This window comes from Homo sapiens, chromosome 18, assembly GCF_000001405.40.
Source record: "Homo sapiens chromosome 18, GRCh38.p14 Primary Assembly".
NCBI lineage: Eukaryota > Metazoa > Chordata > Mammalia > Primates > Hominidae > Homo > Homo sapiens.
Window position 1 is genome coordinate 23,500,464 of NC_000018.10, and position 20,415 is coordinate 23,520,878.

The 20,415-nt window shown below is 45.5% G+C and overlaps 2 protein-coding genes across 10 annotated transcripts in view, besides 4 other annotated features; one reads left to right on the plus strand and one right to left on the minus strand.

The window, feature by feature from the left end:
* Positions 2,760-3,409: a silencer, noted in NCBI's record as "silent region_9357". NCBI's record gives its function as "represses an Ori minimal core promoter by ATAC-STARR-seq in GM12878 lymphoblastoid cells {active_cell/tissue: GM12878}" and the evidence as "EXISTENCE:reporter gene assay evidence [ECO:0000049][PMID:35858748]".
* Positions 3,007-20,415, plus strand: part of RMC1 (regulator of MON1-CCZ1) — a 28,353-nt gene continuing 10,944 nt past the window's right edge. For 2 of the 8 annotated variants that reach the window (NM_001276342.1, NM_001318709.1), the window contains exons 1-8: positions 3,007-3,257; positions 3,908-3,984; positions 6,507-6,591; positions 15,393-15,533; positions 15,857-15,960; positions 18,427-18,516; positions 18,606-18,711; positions 19,739-19,850. In NM_001276342.1, the coding sequence (NP_001263271.1) occupies positions 3,156-3,257; positions 3,908-3,984; positions 6,507-6,591; positions 15,393-15,533; positions 15,857-15,960; positions 18,427-18,516; positions 18,606-18,711; positions 19,739-19,850 (817 nt within the window). In that variant the 5' untranslated portion in view covers positions 3,007-3,155. Of the gene's footprint in view, positions 3,258-3,907; positions 3,985-6,506; positions 6,592-7,521; positions 7,579-8,729; positions 8,817-15,392; positions 15,534-15,856; positions 15,961-18,426; positions 18,517-18,605; positions 18,712-19,738; positions 19,851-20,415 lie in introns of those variants that run through there. The other 6 variants (XM_047437488.1, NM_013326.5, NM_001318708.1 and 3 more) reach the window with 6 other exon arrangements.
* Positions 3,660-3,759: an enhancer, noted in NCBI's record as "active region_13162". NCBI's record gives its function as "activates an Ori minimal core promoter by ATAC-STARR-seq in GM12878 lymphoblastoid cells {active_cell/tissue: GM12878}" and the evidence as "EXISTENCE:reporter gene assay evidence [ECO:0000049][PMID:35858748]".
* Positions 5,005-5,508: an enhancer, noted in NCBI's record as "NANOG hESC enhancer chr18:21085432-21085935 (GRCh37/hg19 assembly coordinates)". NCBI's record gives its function as "activates a minimal SCP1, AML or CMV promoter by ChIP-STARR-seq in naive H9 embryonic stem cells {active_cell/tissue: H9 hESC(naive)}" and the evidence as "EXISTENCE:reporter gene assay evidence [ECO:0000049][PMID:30033119]".
* The window catches only part of NPC1 (NPC intracellular cholesterol transporter 1), an 80,323-nt gene continuing 65,628 nt past the window's right edge, over positions 5,721-20,415 (minus strand). For both annotated transcript variants that reach the window (XM_005258279.3, XM_005258277.1), the window contains exon 25: positions 5,721-6,179. In XM_005258279.3, coding sequence (XP_005258336.1) covers positions 6,073-6,179 — 107 coding nt within the window. In that variant the 3' untranslated portion in view covers positions 5,721-6,072. The remainder of the gene's footprint in view (positions 6,180-20,415) is intronic.
* Positions 18,416-19,615: an enhancer, noted in NCBI's record as "CDK7 strongly-dependent group 2 enhancer chr18:21098843-21100042 (GRCh37/hg19 assembly coordinates)". NCBI's record gives its function as "activates an origin of replication core promoter dependent on BRD2, BRD4, P300/CBP, MED14 and CDK7 cofactors, with strong dependence on CDK7, by STARR-seq in HCT116 cells {active_cell/tissue: HCT116}" and the evidence as "EXISTENCE:reporter gene assay evidence [ECO:0000049][PMID:35650434]".

Genomic DNA, 20,415 nt, shown 5'->3' on the forward strand with positions numbered 1-20,415 from the left:
TGTCTCTACTGAAAATACAAAATTAGCCGGGTGTGGTGGCGCATGCCTGTAATCCCAGCTACTCGGGAGGCTGAGGCAGGAGAATCACTTGAACCGAGAGGTAGAGGTTGCAGTGAGCCAAGATTGTGCCACTGCACTCCAGCCTGGGCAACAAGAGGAACAAGAGCAAAACTCCATCAAATAAATAAATAAATAAATAAATAAAAACAGGGTTTGGCCTTGGGCAGGATGGACCGTTTTCTAGAAGGACAGCCGTGGTGCGCTGCACAACTGGTATGAAGCCCAGTTTCCATCTGAAGTCCTCGATGTTCATGGAAATAGGGGCGAGACAGTCTGAGGAGTGTGAAGAAGGCCTGAAAATATCCTTGCAGAGAACAGGAGAGACAATGACTGGGACAGCCAGGCAGGGCTGAGGGCCCATTTGAATTTCCCGCAGTGCCCTCTGTCCTGTTGTGTGACCCCTCCAGCAGTAGGTACTGGGAAAGCAGGTGGCTGAGTTCATCCAGGACTGAGGCTCTGCCAGACAAGAACAGTGCAGCAAGGATGTTGAAGGTAATGGCAAAAAATAACTGGAATGCAGAGAAATGAAATCAAAGCTGATGAGGAGGGAAGGGAAGAGAGGAGAGGGCAGATAGACTTGGGTAGAGAGGACAGAACAATGACAGGGCAAACTGGTGATGTTGAGGAAGAGTCACAGGGAGCAGCTAAACAAGCCAGCTGCAGGGATGGCACTGTGTGGCTGGAGAGCAGGGTTCTGGAGTTATCGGTTTTTCCATGTGTGACATGGGCCTGGGTGGGTGAGGCTGAGTGTAGAAGTCTTACATTTCCAGTCTTGTCACTCCTCTGATGAGTTTCAGACCAATATATCCATCTGCCTAGATGTCATTTCTCCTTGGATTCACATGCTCCAAACCAAACTCCTGGGCTCAGACATCAAAGCCACTCAAAAATAGCTCTCTGAGAAATAGAACTACCATATGATCCAGTAATCCAACTTTTGGGTATAGACCCAAAAGAATTAAAAACAGAATATTGAACAGATATTTGCATAGCTTTATTCACAACAGCCAAAGGTGGGAACAACCCACATGCCCATCAACAGACGAATGGATAAACAAAATGTGCTATATACATAAAATGGAATCTTTTTCGGCCTTAATGAAGGAAGGAAATCCTGACACATGCTACATGGATGAACCTTGAGGATATTTTGCTAAGCAAAAGAAGCCAGACACTAATGGACAAATACTATAAAATCCACTTATATGAGATACTTAGAGTAGTCAAATTTAGGGACAGAATCAGATTTGCAAGATAAAAAGTTTCTGGAAACGTATTTCACAATAATGTGAATATGCCTGATACTACTGAACACCTCAAAAAGGGTTAACACGGGGCCGGGCGCGGTGGCTCATGCCTGTAATCTCATCACTGTGGGAGGCCAAGGTGGGCAGATCACCTGAGGTTAGGAGTTGGAGACCAGCCTGGCCAACATGGTGAAACCCGGTCTCTGCTAAAAATACACACAAAAAAATTAGCTGGGCATGGTGGCAGGTGCCTGTAATCCCAGCTACTTGGGAGGCTGATGCGGGAGAATCGCTTGAACCCGGGAGGTGGAGGTTGCAGTGAACCGAGACAGGGCCATTGCACTCCAGCCTGGGCAACAAGAACGAAATTCCGTCTCAAAATAAAATAAAATAAACAATAAAAATAAAGGGTTAACATGGGGGCTGAGCACGGTCAGCGAGAGAATCACTTGAGGCCAGGAGTCTGAGACCAGCCTGGGCAACAGAGAACGCTGTCTCTACAAAGCATAATAATAAAAAAATGAGCCAGGTGTGGTGGCATGCACCCGTGGTCCCAGCTACTTGTGAGGCTGAGATGGGAGGTTGAGACTGCAGTGAGCCGTGTTCGCATCACTGCTCTCCAGCCTGGGCACAGAGACACTCTGTCTCTGAAACAAACAAAAAAAGAGGGGCTAACATGGTAAATTTCATGTTTCTTATCAAGTAAAAAGGCTTGCTGACCCACAATCTATATTAGGTTTCCCTGTTACTAGCAAGGAGTGAAGGATGTGCTATCCCAAAATATGTCCAAAAATTGGTATATTATTTTGAGCTAAAAACACCGGAGAAATTGTAGTTTCAGAAAGGGCTAGATGACCTGTCGTTTCCTACAGGGAATAAGCAGTAAAGATTCCTCTGGGAGTGGCACCCTCTCTGTACCCGGGTCAGAAAATAGCCCTTATCACCAGAGACTGGGAGTTGGGGCTGCAATGGACCTGAATAAATGAACTTCCCAAGTAACACTTACCTTCCACTAATTTTACACCCTCCCCAATATTTCTCCTAGTGACTCTCTTAGAAATGTATCGCCCCAGCCAGATGCCTTTTGTGCTTTCTTCTCAAATGCATCATTCTTTGTCTAAAAAGTATAAAAGCATCTTGCTGTGGCCACTTCTTCAGACCTCACTCTCTTTTGAAGGTCCCCATGAAAAACTAATAAAGTGTGTATGCTTTTCTTTTGTTTATCTGCCTCTTGTCAATTCGGTTTCTGGCTCCAGCGGAAGAGCCCGCAGAAGCGCTGAGGGGACTGGAGACGGTCTCTGGCGCCCCTACACCTGCTCAGTGAGCCTTCAGCCCCTTCTCCCTGACGAAGCTCCCAGAGGCTGGAACTCTGGCGCGGGAGGCACTTGGGAAATCCTCCCGAAAGCAAGGAGGAGCCTTTCCTAGACCGGGAGCGGTCCCACGCGGGGGTACAGGTTGGGGCAGGGGCGACCGAGCCGGGCACAGGAACTCGCAGCAGGGTAGGGTTGGCGGCTACGCCGCCCTCGGTCCGCGGGGAACCACGCGGGCTTCCGGGTCACGCCGCCGCGTTCCGACCGCCCTCGGGGAGAGGGGAGGAGCCTCCAGCGCCGGGCGGGGCGTGGTTAAGGCCGGTGGGCCCCACCGCAGCCAGACGCTGCCCGTTTAAGCGCAGAGGGCCGCGGGTCACGTGGTGGGCGGGGTGGGGGCGTGGCACCAGGAAGCGGCGTCCGCGCCGGGCCCAGAGCCGCAGCCGCAGCCGCCGCTACAGTCCGGGCCGGGCTCCACCGCGCATCCTGCTCCACTCTGGCGACCGCCCCCGGGGCCCCCGCCGCGGGCGCGGCGCCCGCCATGGGCGAGGAGGACTACTATCTGGAGCTGTGCGAGCGGCCGGTGCAGTTCGAGAAGGCGAACCCTGTCAACTGCGTCTTCTTCGATGAGGCCAACAAGCAGGTCCGGCGCGCCCGCGCTTCCTCCCCCGCGCGGCCCTGCCGGGGTCGTGGGCGCGCCAAGGCCGGTCCCGCGCGACCAGGCCCGAGCGTCCCCTCCTGTCCTGTCCCGTCCCGTCCCAGCGCGGGAGGCGGCGCGCGCTCCTTCCTTGTTGGGTGGGCTCAGCCGCGGCCAGGTGTCCTCGCAGGTGACCTCGGGGCTGGACCCCCGAGCCAGCTGCGCGGATGCAGTGGCCCCGTGGCCAGTGTCTCAATTGTTGGCGCGCCCGTCTTATCTAGGCTTCTTTTGTTGTGTTTGTCATTAGTTACACTCGTAGTCAAGGGTTTAGACGTCGAGATTTTCATTTTCCTTGAAATTTTGTAAAGGGGGAAAAGACTGTACTTCAGGCGTATCAGCGGCGCCGATGCGCGAACCGGTGTTAGAACTTGGAGCCTCGGGAACCCGACCCGGTGTCACGGTGGCATCCTTTTCGCTCTCTGCTCTTGGTTTTTAAAATTCACCTGAGCAGCCAAACATCTGTACCTTGATATGTGCCGTGTTACTTTAGTTGAACCCAGGGTGGTGTATAACAGAAATAATCGCTTGCGGGTTGGCTTCTGAGTTTAGATCCTTTCAGAGTTCAGGCTGTTAACCTTGCTGCTTTTCCCTCTCAGGTTTTTGCTGTTCGATCTGGTGGAGCTACTGGCGTGGTAGTTAAAGGCCCAGATGATAGGAATCCCATCTCATTTAGGTAATGGTATAGACACTTTCAGATCATTTTGTCATGTAAACAGAATGATGTTTTTCTAATTCAAATGGTTTTTTATAATTTTGTCATTTGGTCTGCCCTAAGAGGCCTGAAGTCTGTGTGCGCACATGGAATTCCTGTCTGTAGGGAGGGTCTTCGTGGCACTTACTAGCACCTCTTGTCAGAGTGGAATATCTGGAGCAGTTGATTTGGGAGCCAAATACTTCAAAAGTGGGGCAGCCACTTCCTAGCACTGGAAATTAACAAGTCAGCGTGATGATGTGCCCATTTCTGGTTTGTTCACAGAGGAGGGCGTTCATTTCTTTAGCCCAGGTCTTTCCAGAGTGGCAGGTGGAGGAGATTCATTGTTTCTCATGTAATAATACAAGAAAATCATGGCTTCCACTATACTTAAGGTGACTGCATAGTCCCAGTTCGCACTGTTGAACAGGTTTAATGATCAACAGCAGGGCCTTTCACTTTCAGAAGTGTCTCGATTTGGATGATAAGCTATCTGGCCACTGTAACACTGGTGCTTACAGAAGGTGAAAGTATAATGTAGGCCCTCAATTCAGTAGTGACTTAAAAAATTTTACTGTTGGTCTGTGTTAATGAGAAACTGTCCTTTTTTGAGAGGGAGCCTCCCTCTGTTCCCCAGGGTGGAGTGCAGTGGTGCGATCTTGGCTGACTGCAACCTCCGCCTCCCAGGTTCAAGTGATTCTCCTGCTTCAGCTTCCCAAGTAGCTGGGATTAGAGGCGCCCACCACCACGCCCGGCTAATTTTTTTTGTATTTTTAGTAGAGATGGGGTTTCACCGTGTTGGCCAGGCTGGTTTCGAACTCCTGACCTCAAAACGATCCGCCCGCCTCAGACTCCCACAGTGCTAGGATTACAGGCATGAGCCGCTGCACCCGGCCTGAGCAAGGTTTTAAAGTATGGATGGGGTTCGAGCATGGTGTTTTGGGGAACTCTGGGTCTGTGTAACTGAAGGTTACATAGGGTGTCTCCACAGGGAAGGGGAAATGGTGGTGGTGTGGCCACTGGCAGGGGCCAGCTTGAACCTTACATATTCTCCTATGAAATTAGAGCTTTATCTTCTTATTGAAACTTATCAGGTGGGGTGTGGGATGATCATGTCAGTGTTTGGCAAGATCATGCTGTTCACAGCACGGAGGCTGGCTTAGTTGGGAGCCTGTCAGAGTTAGGGATGCTATGGAGAGTAGCAATCAGCGAGCCATGTGTGGTGAAGAGCAGCGCTCTGGTGGTGTAGAGTGGCATTGCATAGGCAATCAAGGGATACTTAGGAAGATGGGTCTCTCGTAAGACCCGGGGGTCGGTTGGGTGTGGAAAACGAGTGAGCCCGTGATAATCTAGATTGGGGGCTCTAAGAAGTTTGTGGGTGGGGGGAAGGTACTGAATTTAACTTAAAAAGAGTTTTTAGACTGGGCGCGGTGGCTCATGCCTGTAATCCCAGCACTTTGGGAGGCCGAGGCGGGTGGATCACTTGAGATCAGGAGTTCGAGACCAGCCTGGCCAGCATGGTGAAACCCTGTCTCTACTAAAAATACAAAAATTAGCCAGGTGTGGTGGCACGTGCCTGTAATCCCAGCTACTCGGAACGCTGAGGCAGGAGAATCACGTGAACCCGAGAGGCAGAGGTTGCAGTGAGCCGAGATCATGCCACTGCACTGTAGCCTGGGCAACAGAGCAAGACTCCGTCTCAAAAAAAAAAAAAAAAAGATTTTTAAAAGCAGCTTTATTGAGGCATAGTTGACACATAATAAACTGTACACACTTAATATTATGCAATATGTGAGTTTTGACATGTATACACCCATGAAACCATCACCACAATCAAGGCAATGAACATGTTCAGACCCCGAAAAGTTTCCTTGGGCCCTTCTGTAATCCATCCCTTGAGTTTTTTTTTTTTAAATGAATTTTTAATTTAAAAAATGTATGTATTGGAATAGAGACGGGGTCTCACTGTGTTGCTGAGGCTGGTCTCGAATTCCTGTGATCCTCCTGCTTCATCCTCTCACAGTGCTGGGATTACAGGTGTAGGCCGCTGTGCCCAGCTGAGTTCACTTTTTAACATCTGTCTGAGGCGGTCATGAGACACTGTAGTGGAGCCATCTGGGTTGCATAATGAATGTGCTGTGAGATGCACAAGTAGATAGTTCTTTCCAGAAGCTTTGCTGTGAGAGAGAAACAGCAGTTACGGAGAAGGCTCCTGAGCGGGTCTATAGTTATTTATGTTGGAACAATTCTCAGGTGATATGTGTGTGTGATCTGAATTCTTCAATCACTTGTTACCCATAATACTGTAAGTTTCCCAGCAAGTTCTTTCCAGTTGGATTTGGTAGTTTGAAAAGAGGTCCTACTGATGGCTTCCGAAACATAATTTTAATTTTAGACTAGAATTTGCTGCCTCCTGAATATAGATTGTGTCTTTTGCCTTTTCAATAAATGGTAGTAGCTAGAATTCGGTTATTTAACTACTAACACAATCTTTCTTCTTAAAGAATGGATGACAAAGGAGAAGTGAAGTGCATTAAGTTTTCCTTAGAAAATAAGATATTGGCTGTTCAGAGGACCTCAAAGACTGTGGTAAGACTTATCTTTAAAATACAGCATTAAAGGGCATTAGAAATACATTTGGAAGAGAAGGAATCGCAAATTTTCAGTGTTAAAGGAAACTTTTATTATCTTACTGTTGTGAAAGGTATAGTTATGTTGCATTGTATTAGAGCCTTCAAAAACGAAAAAGACATTTGAGTGGGTTAAAAAAATGACCTTAGTTTGATTTTTAAATTAAATTAAAAATTTTTTTTTGAGCCAGTCTTCCTTTGTTGCCCAGGCTGGAGTGCAGTGATGTGATCTCGGCTCACTGCAGCCTCGATCTCTCAGGCTCAAGTGATTCTCTCGCCTCAGTCTCCCTTAAAAATTGTTAAAAAATAATTTGGAACTTCATGTGTCTTTTGTATTGCTTGATAGCAGCATAGAATATGTGAGGTATTTTTGGCTACTTTGTGAATTAGCCTTTTCATCTCTCATTTCTGAGTGCTAGATCTGATAGGAGCAGATATTCCAAGTTGAAGCAGCCTACAGGCACTTTAGCCCGTGTAAATGTTCACCATTGCCGTTTGTAGAGTAGAGGGAAGGCTGTTAGAAACAGGCAGAATCCTCTGTTAGTTTCTTCCATCAGTTTTAAGTGTTAAAGTCTTGGGGAAGCCTCTTAGTGCAGCAACACATTTCTCTGACATCAGCTGCTTGAGGAATGAATTTTTGAAAGGAGTTACTAAACTGTAACTGAATATTTGTATTAACTTAAAAAAAATTGAATCGTAAGCCTGCTGCTGTTGAGACAGATGATCCGAATTGGTCTTTTTATCTTTCCTGTGTTTTGGTTGTCTTCAGTTATTTTCTGGTCACTTTTTAAGTTAATATTTATTTTTCTTGTCTTGTAGTATGCCAACGTAGGTTGGCAGTATGCTGCCTAATCCAAATTTGTGTGTGTCTGTGTGTTTTTCCTTTCAGGATTTTTGTAATTTTATCCCTGATAATTCCCAGCTGGAATACACACAGGAGTGCAAGGTATGACCCCAGGCCCTTTCTCAGCTGCTGGTGTCAGTGGTGTTGAGCTGGGTTATGTAGTGGAGAGCGGGGCATTGGGGTCGCAGGGAGCACAGACTTGAAGTCAGACTGTCCCTCATGTTGATTCCCAAACTGGAGTCAGGCGGGGTGTTTGCTTTGTGACACTGAACAGTTTTCTAAGTTTGAAAGCTTGTTCCTTTGGAGGGGGAGGGTTCAATGGATGATGCGTGGTGAACACCCAGTAGTGCTAGCCCTTGGGGCTGTCGTCTGTCTTGCCCTTTTTCTCCTCACTGGGCTGACAGCACATCTGGGTCTGGGCCCTGGGATGCCTCACAGCCACCTGGAGTGGAGGTTTCTGGTGAGGAGTTTCTTTTTCTGTTTCCTGAAGTTTCCTTTCCTCAATTTGTTGTCTTTGTCTTGTCCTTACTCTTTCTTTCTTCTCCTAGGTGTTGATTCTAATCCACATTAATGAGATTTGCTGGGTGTAGTAAACTAGGCTAGAGGGAGCTGAGCTAAAATTGGCAGTGTGGCACCTTGGGCGCTGACAGAAGCTGCTAGTGGTTGGGGTAGGGCTTTCTGCATTTTTGTGACTGTTTTGCTCAATGGAGTTCAGGGCGGACTCTTTGGTGAGGAGAGGTGCATCCCCACCACTGTCCTGCCTGCCCTGCAGTGGCCCCGTGTGAAGAGACCCTCAGCCCGGCCCTTCTCAAACCTGTCTGCCCTCAAGCGAGTCGGGTGTGTGTCTCAGGGTCCTCAACCCATTTTAGTCAACACTCACTAAAGACCCTTAGGCCTTTGTACATTTTTAATAACCATTTTTATAACGTGGGTGACTAAGAATGTTGGCAGTATGGTGATTCCTGCAGGTAGAAGCTGCTGTCTGTGAGCTCTGGTCAGTTACTTTTCTACAAAACACAGACTTCTCCTGTTCTGTTTAGTAGAAGGAATTAGGATTCAGGTTCTTGAATGAAGAGTTATGGGCAAAAATCAGGGAACATTGTATTTAAAAGAAAATTTGTTTTGTTAATTAGTAAACATTCCGGGGAACGTTCATTAAAGAATGACAAACTGCAGAGTTTGTGAAGCTTTTGAAGAGAGTTATATGTGTTTTTTCTTATTAATTAAAAATATTTTTAAAAAATTTTTCTTAGACTAAGAATGCCAACATTCTAGGATTCTGCTGGACTAGTTCAACTGAAATTGTCTTCATAACAGATCAAGGAATCGAATTTTACCAGGTATTATGTTTATCATTTATGTTTGTTGGTTAAAGTTCAGTGATAGCATTCTGGCAGCCTTTTGAATTCAGTACTGAATATATATATATATATTTTAAACATTTTCTAGAGATGGAGTCTTGCTCTGTTGCCCAGGCTGCAGTGCAGTGGCACCATCATGGCTCACTGTAATCTCAAACTCCTGGGCTCAAGCAATCCTCCTGCCTCAGTCTCCTGAGTAGGTGGGACTACAGGCATGTACCACCATGCCTGGCTAATTTTTCTTTTTATTATTTTATTTTATTTTATTTTATTTTTGAGACGGAGTTTCGCTCTTGTTGCCCAGGCTGGTGGAGTGCAATGGCGCGATCTCGGCTCACCGCAACCTCCGCCTCCCAGGTTCAAGCGATTCTCCTGTCTCAGCCTCGTGAGTAGATGGGATTACAGGCATGCATCACCATGCCCGGGTAATTTTGTATTTTTAGTAGAGACGGGATTTCTCCATGTTGAGACTGGTCTCGAACTCCCGACCTCAGGTGATCCACCCGCCTCGGCCTCCCAAAGTGCTGGGATTACAGGCGTGAGCCACTGCGCCCGGCCCTGGCTAATTTTTAAACTTTTTTGTAGAGACGAAGTCTTGCTATGTTGCCCAGGCTGGTGTCAAACTCCTAACCTCAACTCCTGCCTTGGCCACTCAGCTTTAGTCTCTTGCTGGGGATTTTATTCTTTTTTTTTTTTTTTATAATTGCAAGTAATAAATTAAAAAAAAAAAAAAGAAAAGAAAAAGGGCTTGGTGGCCCATGCCTGTAATTCCAGCTCTTTGGAAGGCCAAGGTGGGTGGATGGCTTGAGTCCAGGAGTCTGAGACCAGCCAGGCCAACATGATGAAATCCCATCTCTATAAAAAATACAAAATGTTAGTCAGGCATGGTGGTGTGCGCCTGTAGTCCCAGCTACTTGGGAGGCTGAAGTGGGAGGATTGCTTGAGCCTGGGAGGCAGGAGGTTGCAGTGAGCCAAGATCACAGCACTGCACTCCAGCCTGGATGACAGTGAGACCCCATCTCAAAAAAAAAAACAAAAACACAACAACATTAAAAAGTGGGCAAAGGCCAGGTACAGTGGCTCACACCTGTAATCCCAGCACTTTGGGAGACCGAGGTGGGCAGATCACCTGAGGTCAGGAGTTCGAGACCAGCATGGCCAACATGACGAAACCCTGTCTCTATTAAAAATACAAAAATTAGCCAGGTTGGTGGCAGGCACCTGTAATCCCAGCTACTAGGGAGGCTGAGGCCAGGGAATTGCTTGAACCTGGAAGGCGGAGCTTGTAGTGAGCTGAGATGGTGCCACTGCACTCCAGCCTGGGCAACAGAGCGAGACTCCGTCTCAAAAAAAAAAAAGTGGGCAAAGGACATGAGCAGACACTTTTTAAAAGAAGACACACATGCGACCAACAAACATAAAAGAGCTCAACATCACTGATCATTAGAGAAATGCAAATCAAAACCACAATGAGAAACTATCTCACACTAGTCAGCATAGCCATTATAAAAAAGTCAAAGAATAACAGATACTGGCAAGGTTGTGGAGAAAAGGGAACCCTTATGCACTATTGCTGGGAGTGTAAATTAGTTCAACCTTTGTGGAAAACAGTATGGCGATTCCTCAGAGAGCTAAAAGCAGAACTACTGTTTGACCTAGCAGCCCCATTACTGGGTGTAATATGCAGAGGAATATAAATTATTCTACCATAAAGGCACATGCACGTGAATGTTCATTGCAGCACTGTTCACAATGGCAAAGACATGGAATCATCCTAAATGCCCATCAGTGACAGATTGGATAAAGAAAATGTGGTACATATATACCATGGAATACTATGCAGCCATAAAAATGAACAAGATCATGTCTTTTGTGGGAACATGGATGGAGCTGGAGGCCATCATCCTTAGCAAACTAACACAGGAACAGAAAACCAAATACCACATGATCTCACTTCTAAGTGGGAGCTAAATGTAAGTTATGAATGCAAAGAAGGAAACAACAGACACGGGGGGCTACTTGAGCAGGGGAGGGTGGGAGGAGGGAGAGGAGCAGAAAAGATAACTATTGGGTACTGGACTTAATACCTGGGTGATGAAATAATCTGTACCACAAACCCCGTGACATGAGTTTACGTATGTAACAAACCTTCACATCTATCCCTGAACCTAAAAGTTAAAACAAAAAACATTCAAACATTGCAAGATATGTAATATGGAAAGCAAATGTTCCCTATAATCCCGATAAATAATTATTATGAACAGTTTGGTGCATATTCCTCTATTTTTAAAAATAAATACAAACTTCTTTTTAACAAAAAGGGGAATGTTGTATATAAACTTTTGCAGCTAGCTTTTTTTTTTTTTGTCCAAAGTGTATCTTGGACATCTTTCTATATTTTATTCTGACTGGGTAGTATTCCACTGTATGGATGGACTGCAGTTTAAAAATTTTCTTGTTATTGGACATTGGCTGGTTTTCCATTTTTTTGTGATTACAAATAACCCTTCAGTAACATGCTTGTACACACTTCTTTATATTAGAGGGAGAGTTGCAGTATAGGTACGAACATCTGAAAAGCTGAACCAGTATCGCCAAATTTCTTCTAGACATGTGTATTTTCACTAGCAATATAGGAACTTCTGCTTTTCATACCTTTAGGAGGACTGGATATTATCAGTCTATAGACATTTGCCAACCTGAGAGGTAGAAAGACTTTTTTTTTTTTTTTTTTTTCTGAGACAGAGTCTCACTCCGTCGCCCAGGCTGGAGTGCAATGGTGCGATCTCGGCTCACGGCAACCTCCACCTCCTGGGTTCAAGCAATTCTCCTGCCTCAGCCTCCCAAGTAGCTGGGTCTACAGGCGCCCAGCACCACGCCTGGCTAATTTTTGTATTTTTAGAAGAGGTGGGGTTTCACCATGTTGGCCAGGCTGGTCTTGAACCCCTGGCCTCAAATAATCCACCTATCTCGGCCCCCTAAAGTGCTGGGATTACAGGCGTGAGCCACCATGCCTGGCCGAAAGACATTTTAATTTGCATTTTACATTACTAGGGAAGTAAGCATCTTTTCATTTGTATATTGTCCATTTGTATTTTGTTAACTTCCTCTTAAAATTTTTTTATTTTGTAATAATTATTTTGAGACAGGATCTCTGTCACCCAGGCTGGAGTACAGTGGCACAATCACGGCTCACTGCAGCCTCGACCTCCTAGCCTCACGTAGTCCTCCCACCTCAGCTTCCTGAGTAGCTGGAACTACAGGTGTGTGCCAGCACGCCCAACTTAATTTTTTTTTCCTTTTTTTTTTTTTGTAGAGATGAGGTCTTGCTGTGTTGCCTAGACTGGTCTTGAACTCCTAGGTTCAAGCCATTCTTCTGCCTTGGCCTCCCAGAGTGCTGGGATTTATGGGCATGAGCCACTGTGTGTGGTCAAAAATATTTTTTTTACTGTGGTAAAAAAACATACAACATTTATTATCTTAACTGTTTTTAAGTGTTCAGTTCAGTAGTGTTAAGTATATTCATTCACATTGTTATGAAATAGCTCCAGAACTTTTTTCATCTTGTGAAACCAAAACTATCCAGTAAACAACTCCCCTTATCCCTTCCCTGCAGCCCCAGCAATCTCTATTTTACTTTCTGTTTCTATGAATTTGACTCCTTTTTTTTTAAGATGGAGTCTTGCTCTGTTGCCCAGGCTGGAGTGCAGTGGCGTGATCTCAGCTCACTGCAACCTCTGTCTCCTGGGTTCAGGCGATTCTCCTGTCTCAGCTTCCTGAATAGCTGGGATTACAGGTGTGCGCCACCACGCCTGGCTAATTTTTGTATTTTTGGTAGAGATGGGATTTCACCATGTTGGCCAAGCTGGTCTTGAACTCCTGACTTCAGGTGATCCACTCACCTCAGCCTCCCAAAGTGCTGGGATTACAGGCGTGAGCCACTGTGTCCGGCCGAATTTGATTACCTTTTATACTTCATATAAGTGAAATTATACAGTATTTGTCCCTTTGTGACTGGCTTATTTCATCTACCATAATTTCCTACAGGTTCCCCCATGCCATAGCATGTGATAGGGTTTCCTTTTTAAGACTGATAATACCGCACTGAGCGTATACACCACATTTTGCTTATCCATTCATCTGTTGAGGGACATTTGGGTTGCTTCTGCCTCTTGGCCATTGTGAATAGTGCTGCTGTCAATACAGGTATGCAGATACCGCTTCAAGATCCCGTTTTCAGTTCTTTTAGATTTATACCCAGAGTGAGATTGCTGGAGCAGATGGTAGTTCTGTTTCTGAATATTTTAGGGAACCGCTATACTGTTTTCCATAGCAGTTACACCATTTTGCAATCCCTCCAAGTGTACAAGGGTCCCAGTTTCTCCATATCCTCACCAACACTTGCTGTTTTGTTTTGTTTTGTTTTTGATACTAGCCATCTTAATTGTGGTTTTGATTTGCGCTCTTTGTTGATTAGTGATGTTGAGCACTTTTGTGTGTGTGTTTTGGCCACTTTGTGTATCATCTTTGGAGAAATGACTAATTCGGGTCATTGTGCCTATTTTTAAAATCAAATTACTATTATTTGTTGAATTGTAGTTCTTTATATATTCTGATATTAACACCTTCTTAGAGATACAATTTGCAAGTATTTTCTCCGAATCCGGAGGTTGCCTTTCCACTCTGTGGATTGTGTCCTTTGATGTACCTGCCTGTTTCTTTTCATCTGTTCCAGCTTCCTGACCTATTAAGCATGCTTCTGAGATCTCTAAGGGGAACTAATTTAGAGGGTGTTAAGAGTTCTTTCAGGTTTTAATTTTGTTGACCTAATGAAAGTCATATAATTTAGAATGTATGGTTAGAGAAAATACACCTGTGTGTTAATGCCATGGTGCTTTGCTGTAAGGCCATCATCGAAATCTTAGTAATGACTGGCTGGGCACGGTGGCTCATGCCTGTAATCCTAGCACTTTGGGAGGCCGAGGTGGGCGATCATCTGAGGTCAGGAGTTCGAGACCAGCCTGGCCGCCATGGCGAAACCCCGTCTCTATTAAACTCCATCTTTACTAAGTGCCGTCTCTACTGTCTCAAAATAAAAATACAAAAATTAGCTGGGTGTGGTGGTGGGCGCCTATAATCCCAGTTACTTGGGAGGCTGAGGCAGAAGAATCCCTTGAACGTGGGAGGTGGAGGTTGCGGTGAGCCGAGATTGTGCCACTGCACTCCAGCCTGGGCAACAAGAGTGAAACTCCGTCTCAAAAAAAAAAAAAATTTGTAATGACCAATAGGAGAACTTTAAACAAACTTTAGACAAATTCCATACACACAGAAATAGAATTTTGTACATGTGATTGCATGGGAAGGATGGCTTGCTTTCTGGGGGAGTTCCCTATGGTAATCATTTAAAAGTCTGTCTTTCTGTTCTCTGCAGTGGGAAAGTATACCTTAAGGTTACCTAGATGGCTTCAGATCTTCAAGAAAAAAGTTAAAAAGAAAGAAGACTCTAGCACATCCTAATTATTATAGTTCTTAAGAAGCTTACGGCTCCTGCCCCTGACTTGCGCAGCAGTTCTTCAGTGCAGTGTACCATGAGCATTAATGTCTTGGGGGCTCTGTACAGTGTTCTGTAATATCGGAATATTTAGGGTACATTGAAAATGTGCCTGGATTATAAAGTACTGCATTTGTATGGAGTCTTATGAACACATCTGCTAGAAGAAGGGAGCTCCTCCCAGGCCCAGTGTAGACTGGAGTCGAGGTGGAGGCCAAGCAGAAGGCAGATCTGCCATGGTCTGGGAGGTGGCCGAGTTAACACATGGGGTCCTGGAGGTGTCAGTTTCTTTTGGCCGTTTCCTGGATGAGGAGAAATTTGTTGTAAATTGCTCTTAGGTGTATCCATGTGCTCCACATGCCCAGGCATGTGGAGGCACAGATAAGGATTTTGGAGGGAAACAGCCTACCCAGGCTATAATTGCTTTGTTAAGGGGCAGGTTCCCTAATCCACTCTTGGAGCCTTGTTTCTCATCTGGCTAATAGGGCCAGTGATGCCTGCCTCTCAGTCGTGGCAAAGAGTAAATGAGTTAGGAGGCTCTGTAAAGCACCAAGCATAGGGCTGGTTAAGTAGTAGCTGTAATAAGTACAAGTGAGAATGTTCATTTCACTTAGTGGGTTTCTTCTGCTTTTTATTCTCAGAGCGCACTGTAAGGATCTTCTGACAGTTTGCTGTTATTGATTTATTTATTAATTGAGACTGAATCTCGCTCTGTCACTCACGCTGGAGTGTGATGGTGCAATCTTGACTCACTGCAACCTCTGCCTCCTGGGTTCATTCAAGCAATTCTTGTGCCTCAGCCTTCTGAGTAGCTGGAATTACAGGCATGTGCCACCACGCCTGGCTAATTTTTGTATTTTTAGTAGAGATGGGGTTTTACCATTTTGTCCAGGCTGGTCTCGAACTCCTGACCTCAGGTGATCCGCCCACCTTAGCCTCCCAAAGTGCTGGGATTAGTTTGCCGTTTTTTAAATGAAGATCCTGTTTCTTAAACTCTGCTTCAGGTATTACCAGAGAAACGGAGTCTGAAACTCTTGAAGAGCCACAATCTCAATGTGAATTGGTACATGTACTGCCCCGAGAGCGCCGTGATCTTGCTGTCTACCACGGTCCTGGAGAATGTCCTGCAGCCTTTTCACTTTAGGGTAAGAGGAAGCCTCCCCTGAAAAAAACACCTTTCCCCAGTTGTCCCCTGTTCCTGTAGCATCCTAATGTGTCAGGCACGTTAGGGACAGGTTCCTCTAGCCGTAACGTCACCGCTCTGACCACTAGAGGGCACTCTGTATACCCGTCAGCTCCTGGAGCCATTCATTCTATGCTGGGCAGACAGGCTGTGAGAGGACATGGGGGACGGTGGAAAGGATCCAAAGACGAAGTCTGTGTTTATCCTTGTTGGTTTTACACAGGGAATGATGAAACATTGAAGGGGTTTAATAAGCTTTTCCTAAAACATTTTCCCCCTAAACAGGCTGGCACTATGTCGAAGCTGCCCAAATTTGAGATTGAATTACCAGCTGCGCCTAAGTCAACTAAACCCAGCCTTTCCGAAAGAGACATCGCAATGGCTACCATGTATGTCCGTGTCAGAGAGAATTCCATCCTGTGATTGCTTTCAGTAATATAAATAATAGAAGGAGTGTGTTACAAGCACCACGTGATGCCCTGACCCCTAGAACACATAAGGAGGACTCCCCTTGTTCTGGGTATTCAGTGTATAGGTCCTGTGAACATAGAAAACCTGCAGTGTTTTTGGCATTCCTTTTTGATTTTTATCAGCTTTGTGATGCTAAGGAATTCCTTTACCTTTCTAGCCTGATAAAACAAGAACATTGAACCAATTTATTTCTTAGTATCTTTGTTTTAGAATTTCTTCTTCTTTTTTTTTTTTTTTCGAGACAGAGTCTTGTTCTGTCCCCTAGGCTGGAGTGCAGTGGTGCAGTGTCGGCTCACTGCAGCCTCCACCTCCCAGGCTCAAACGATTCTTCTGCTTCAGCCTCCCAAGTAGCTGGGATTACAAGTGTGCGTCACCTCGCCCGGCTAGTCTTTGTATTTTTGGTAGAGACAGGGCTTCACCATGTTGGCCAGGCTGGTCTCGAACTCCTGACCTCAAGTGATCCACCTGCCTTGGCTTCCCAAAGTGCTGGGATTACAGGCATGAGCCACTGTGCCTGGCCAAGTTTATTTTTTTTAAAAGCTCAGTTAAATAATAATTGTTCTAAATAAGAAAATAGATTAAGATTTTATGTAACAGACATGGAACTAAATTACGTATATATAGAGGTATATTTTCTTTTACTTTTTTTTTTTGTTTGTTTTTGTGATGGAGTCTTGCTCTGTTGCCAGGCTGGAGTACAGTGGCACGATCTTGGCTCACTGCAACCTCCGCCTCCCAGGTTCAAGCGATTCTCCTGCCTCAGCCTCCCGAGTAGCTGGGACTACAGGTGCGTGCCACCATGCCCAACTAATTTTTGTATTTTTAGTAGAGACAGGGTTTCACCATGTTGGCCAGGGTGGTCTCGGTCTCTTGACCTCTTGATCTGCCCTCCTCAGCCTCCCAAAGTGTTGGGATTACAGGCGTGAGCCACCACGCCTGGCAGTACGGAGGTATATTTTCATTTGAAAAAGTGGATATCTCAGTTTTTAAATTTGTAATGAAAATTTTAAACACACAATAGAGACTAATAAAAAAGAACCCCTGTATGCCTGTATCTGATTCGACAATAGTCAAAATTTTGCTTCTAAGTTACTTCTGATTCTTCTGTGGCCTAAAACAGTGGCCCAAACTTTCAAACTTTATGGTAGTTAGTATAATGTTCTTTCATTTCTTCTTCCTTTTTTTTTAAACGTACTCTTCTGTGGCATTCCTGTTTATTTTTAAATTTTTTTTGGAGAGTGTCGCTCTGTTGCCCAGGCTGGAGTGCAGTGTTACAATCTCAGCTCACCACAACCTCCGCCTTCTAGGTTCAAGTGATTTTCCTGCCACAGTCTCCCAAGTAGCTGGGACTACAGGCGCATGCCACCACATCTGGATAATTTTTGTATTTTCTGAAGAGATGGAGTTTCACCATGTTGCCCAGGCTGGTCTTGAACTCCTGGGCTCGGGTGATCCTCCCGCCTCATCCTCCCAAAGTGCTGGGTTTATAGGCATGAGCCGCCGTGCCCAGCCAGCATTCCTGTTTAGACAATAGATAAAGTGAGAGCAGTCCTGGCTGAAGTGGAGGTGGGGACCTGTTCCCTCCCACCTTGGTCTCCTCCTTGTCCCTGGGCAGGCCCAGCACAGAGTTTACCACTGGACTAGAATATGCATTCAGGAACTGTTCACAGCAACATTTATTAGATGGCACTTAAATAGAAAAGGCTGAGCATGGTGGCACACACCTGTAATACCAGTGACTGGGGAGGCCAAGGCAGGGGGATCGCCTTGAGGCCAGGAGTTCAAGACCAGCCCGGGCAACATAGTGAGACCCTGTTTCTACAAAAAAATTTAAAAATTAGCCAGGCACGGTGGCACGTGCATGTAGTCCTAGCTACTGGGGAGGCTGAGGTGAGGGAAGATCGCCAAAGCCTAGGAGGTGGAGGTTGCAGTGAGCTGTGGTTGCACCACTGCATTCCAGCCTGGGTGACAGAGGGAGACCCTGTCTCTGAAAAATGAAAAAAAAAAATAGTGATTATATTTTCCTGTTATTAAGGAATATACATTCATTATACAAAACTTGGAAAACAGAGAAGAAAATGAACTTAGCATATCACTCAAGTATAACTATTACATGTGTTTCTTTCCAATCATTTTAGACTCTATGCTTAGGTTTGGGGTTTTCTTTTAAAATATTATGATCAAGCTGTGTTTAGTGTGTGTTCTCTTTTCCACTTAACTTTATAATAGGCTTTGAGTAACTGCATGTTTCTTTGTAAACACTTGTTGGCAGCAAAATACTCCATTAAGTGAATATCTTATAATTTACTTAACCGTGATGCCATTTAGAACAAAGGAATTTTGAATGGCCAGATGTGATTTATGTCTGTTTGTTCCCTAATTAGATACGGGCAGCTGTATGTTCTCTTCTTGAGGCATCATTCTCGGACCTCCAACAGCACAGGAGCGGAGGTGGTCCTCTATCATCTACCACGGTAGATTTCATGCTTTGTTTTCCCTCTCTCTCTGATTTTAAAATGTGAACTGCAGCTTGTTGATCTGTTTTTTGCTTTCTATCCTACAGAGAAGGTGCCTGTAAAAAGATGCACATATTGAAGTTAAATAGGACGGGAAAGTTTGCCCTGAACGTGGTGGACAACCTGGTAGTCGTGCATCATCAGGATACAGAGGTACAAGCTGTCTGCGTTTCTACCAAAGTTAAGGTTGCTTAAAAGCCTTGTGAAAATTGGTGGCTGGGCACGGTGGATCACGCCTGTAATCCCAGCACTTTGGGAGGCCAAGGCGGACAGATTGCTTGAGCCCAGGAGTTCGAGACCAGCCTGAGCAGCATGGCAAAACCCCACCTATATAAAAAATACAAAAATTAGCCGGGCGTGGTAGTGCACGCCTATAGTCCCAGCTACTTGTGGGGCTAAGGCTGGAGGATGGCTTGAGCCCAGGAGGTCGGGGCTTCAGTGAGTGGAGATCGCGCCACTGCACTCCAGCCTGGGTGATGGAGCAAGATCCTGTCTCCGAAAAAAAAAAAAAATTGGCAAAATGTCTGAATAAGACTAGAAAGTGCATTTTTATGCTAAGAGTTTTGGTCTTCCAGATGGAAATGGGTTTGGTAGTCTCAAGTAGTTTAGAAAAAAGTGATTGTGTCAGTTGATTAAAGATAATTCAAAACTATTTCAGAAACTAACGCTTGAGATTTGACCTTGGAAGAAGGTGGGAATCCGCTCCATTCCACGAGTACTTGAACTCTCTGTTGCAATTGTGAGCATGGATGACAGTGCTGGGGGATAATGGTTTTGAGGCCGTGTGGACCAGGACAACTAGAATGGGTCCTGTGGGCTGGGCCTCTGATATAAAGAAGCTGCTTACCTCCTCTACCCTCCCAGAGGGTGGTGACGCTAACTCTGTGACACGTGAGGATGTTTCCAGTTGAAATGACAGAGATCTGCTTAGGTCACTTTGAGTGAGCTCATCAAAGGAAGCATGTCATAAATGCAGGAAATACTTGTGAGAGGAGATAAAAATATTAAAAGAGAGTTGTGATGTTAATGACAAATTCCTTCTCAAGTAAGAGCTAGCCTGTAGGGAGGAAATGCAAACACAGGCTTTTAAACTGATTTAAACAGCAAGATGGGATGGAATGAAAGCAACTGGGCAAACCATGATTGATTTTGGCCTCAGTCTTGTCTTTTTCCCCCCCAGACATCGGTAATATTCGATATCAAGTTACGGGGAGAGTTTGACGGCTCCGTTACCTTCCACCACCCCGTGCTTCCCGCTCGATCGATCCAGCCCTATCAGATCCCCATCACAGGTAACACGGGTTCTGTAGAGGAGTCTGTGCTGCCCTTTCACCATGTGGCTGTGTTCTCACCATGATCTTTGGGAGTCACGTTAAAAGTGGAGTGAGGAATAAACAGAGATTCCCAGATCTGTCTGATTTTGCCAGGGGCCATTTGTTCCAGTTTTGTTGTTGTTTTGAGACAGTCTCACTGAGTCACCCAGGCTGGTAGGTAGTGTCGTGATCTTGGCTCACTACAGTCTCCACCTCCTGGGTTCAAGTGATTATCCTGCCTCAGCCTCCCAAGTAGTGGGGATTACAGGTGTGTGCCACCGTGCCCAGCTAATTTTTATATTTTTTTAAATTTATTTTTTTGACAGAGCCTCACTTTGTTGCCCAGGCTGGAGTGCAGTGGCATGATCTCGGCTCACTGCAACCTCCACCTGTCTGTCACAAGGTTCAAGCTTGTGAGGTATTCAAGCAATTGAACCAAGTATTCAATCGCTTAAATACTTGTGAGAGGAGATAAGGTTCAAGTGATTCTCCTGCCTCAGCCTCCCAAGTAGCTGGGATTACAGGCGTGCACCACCACGCCCAG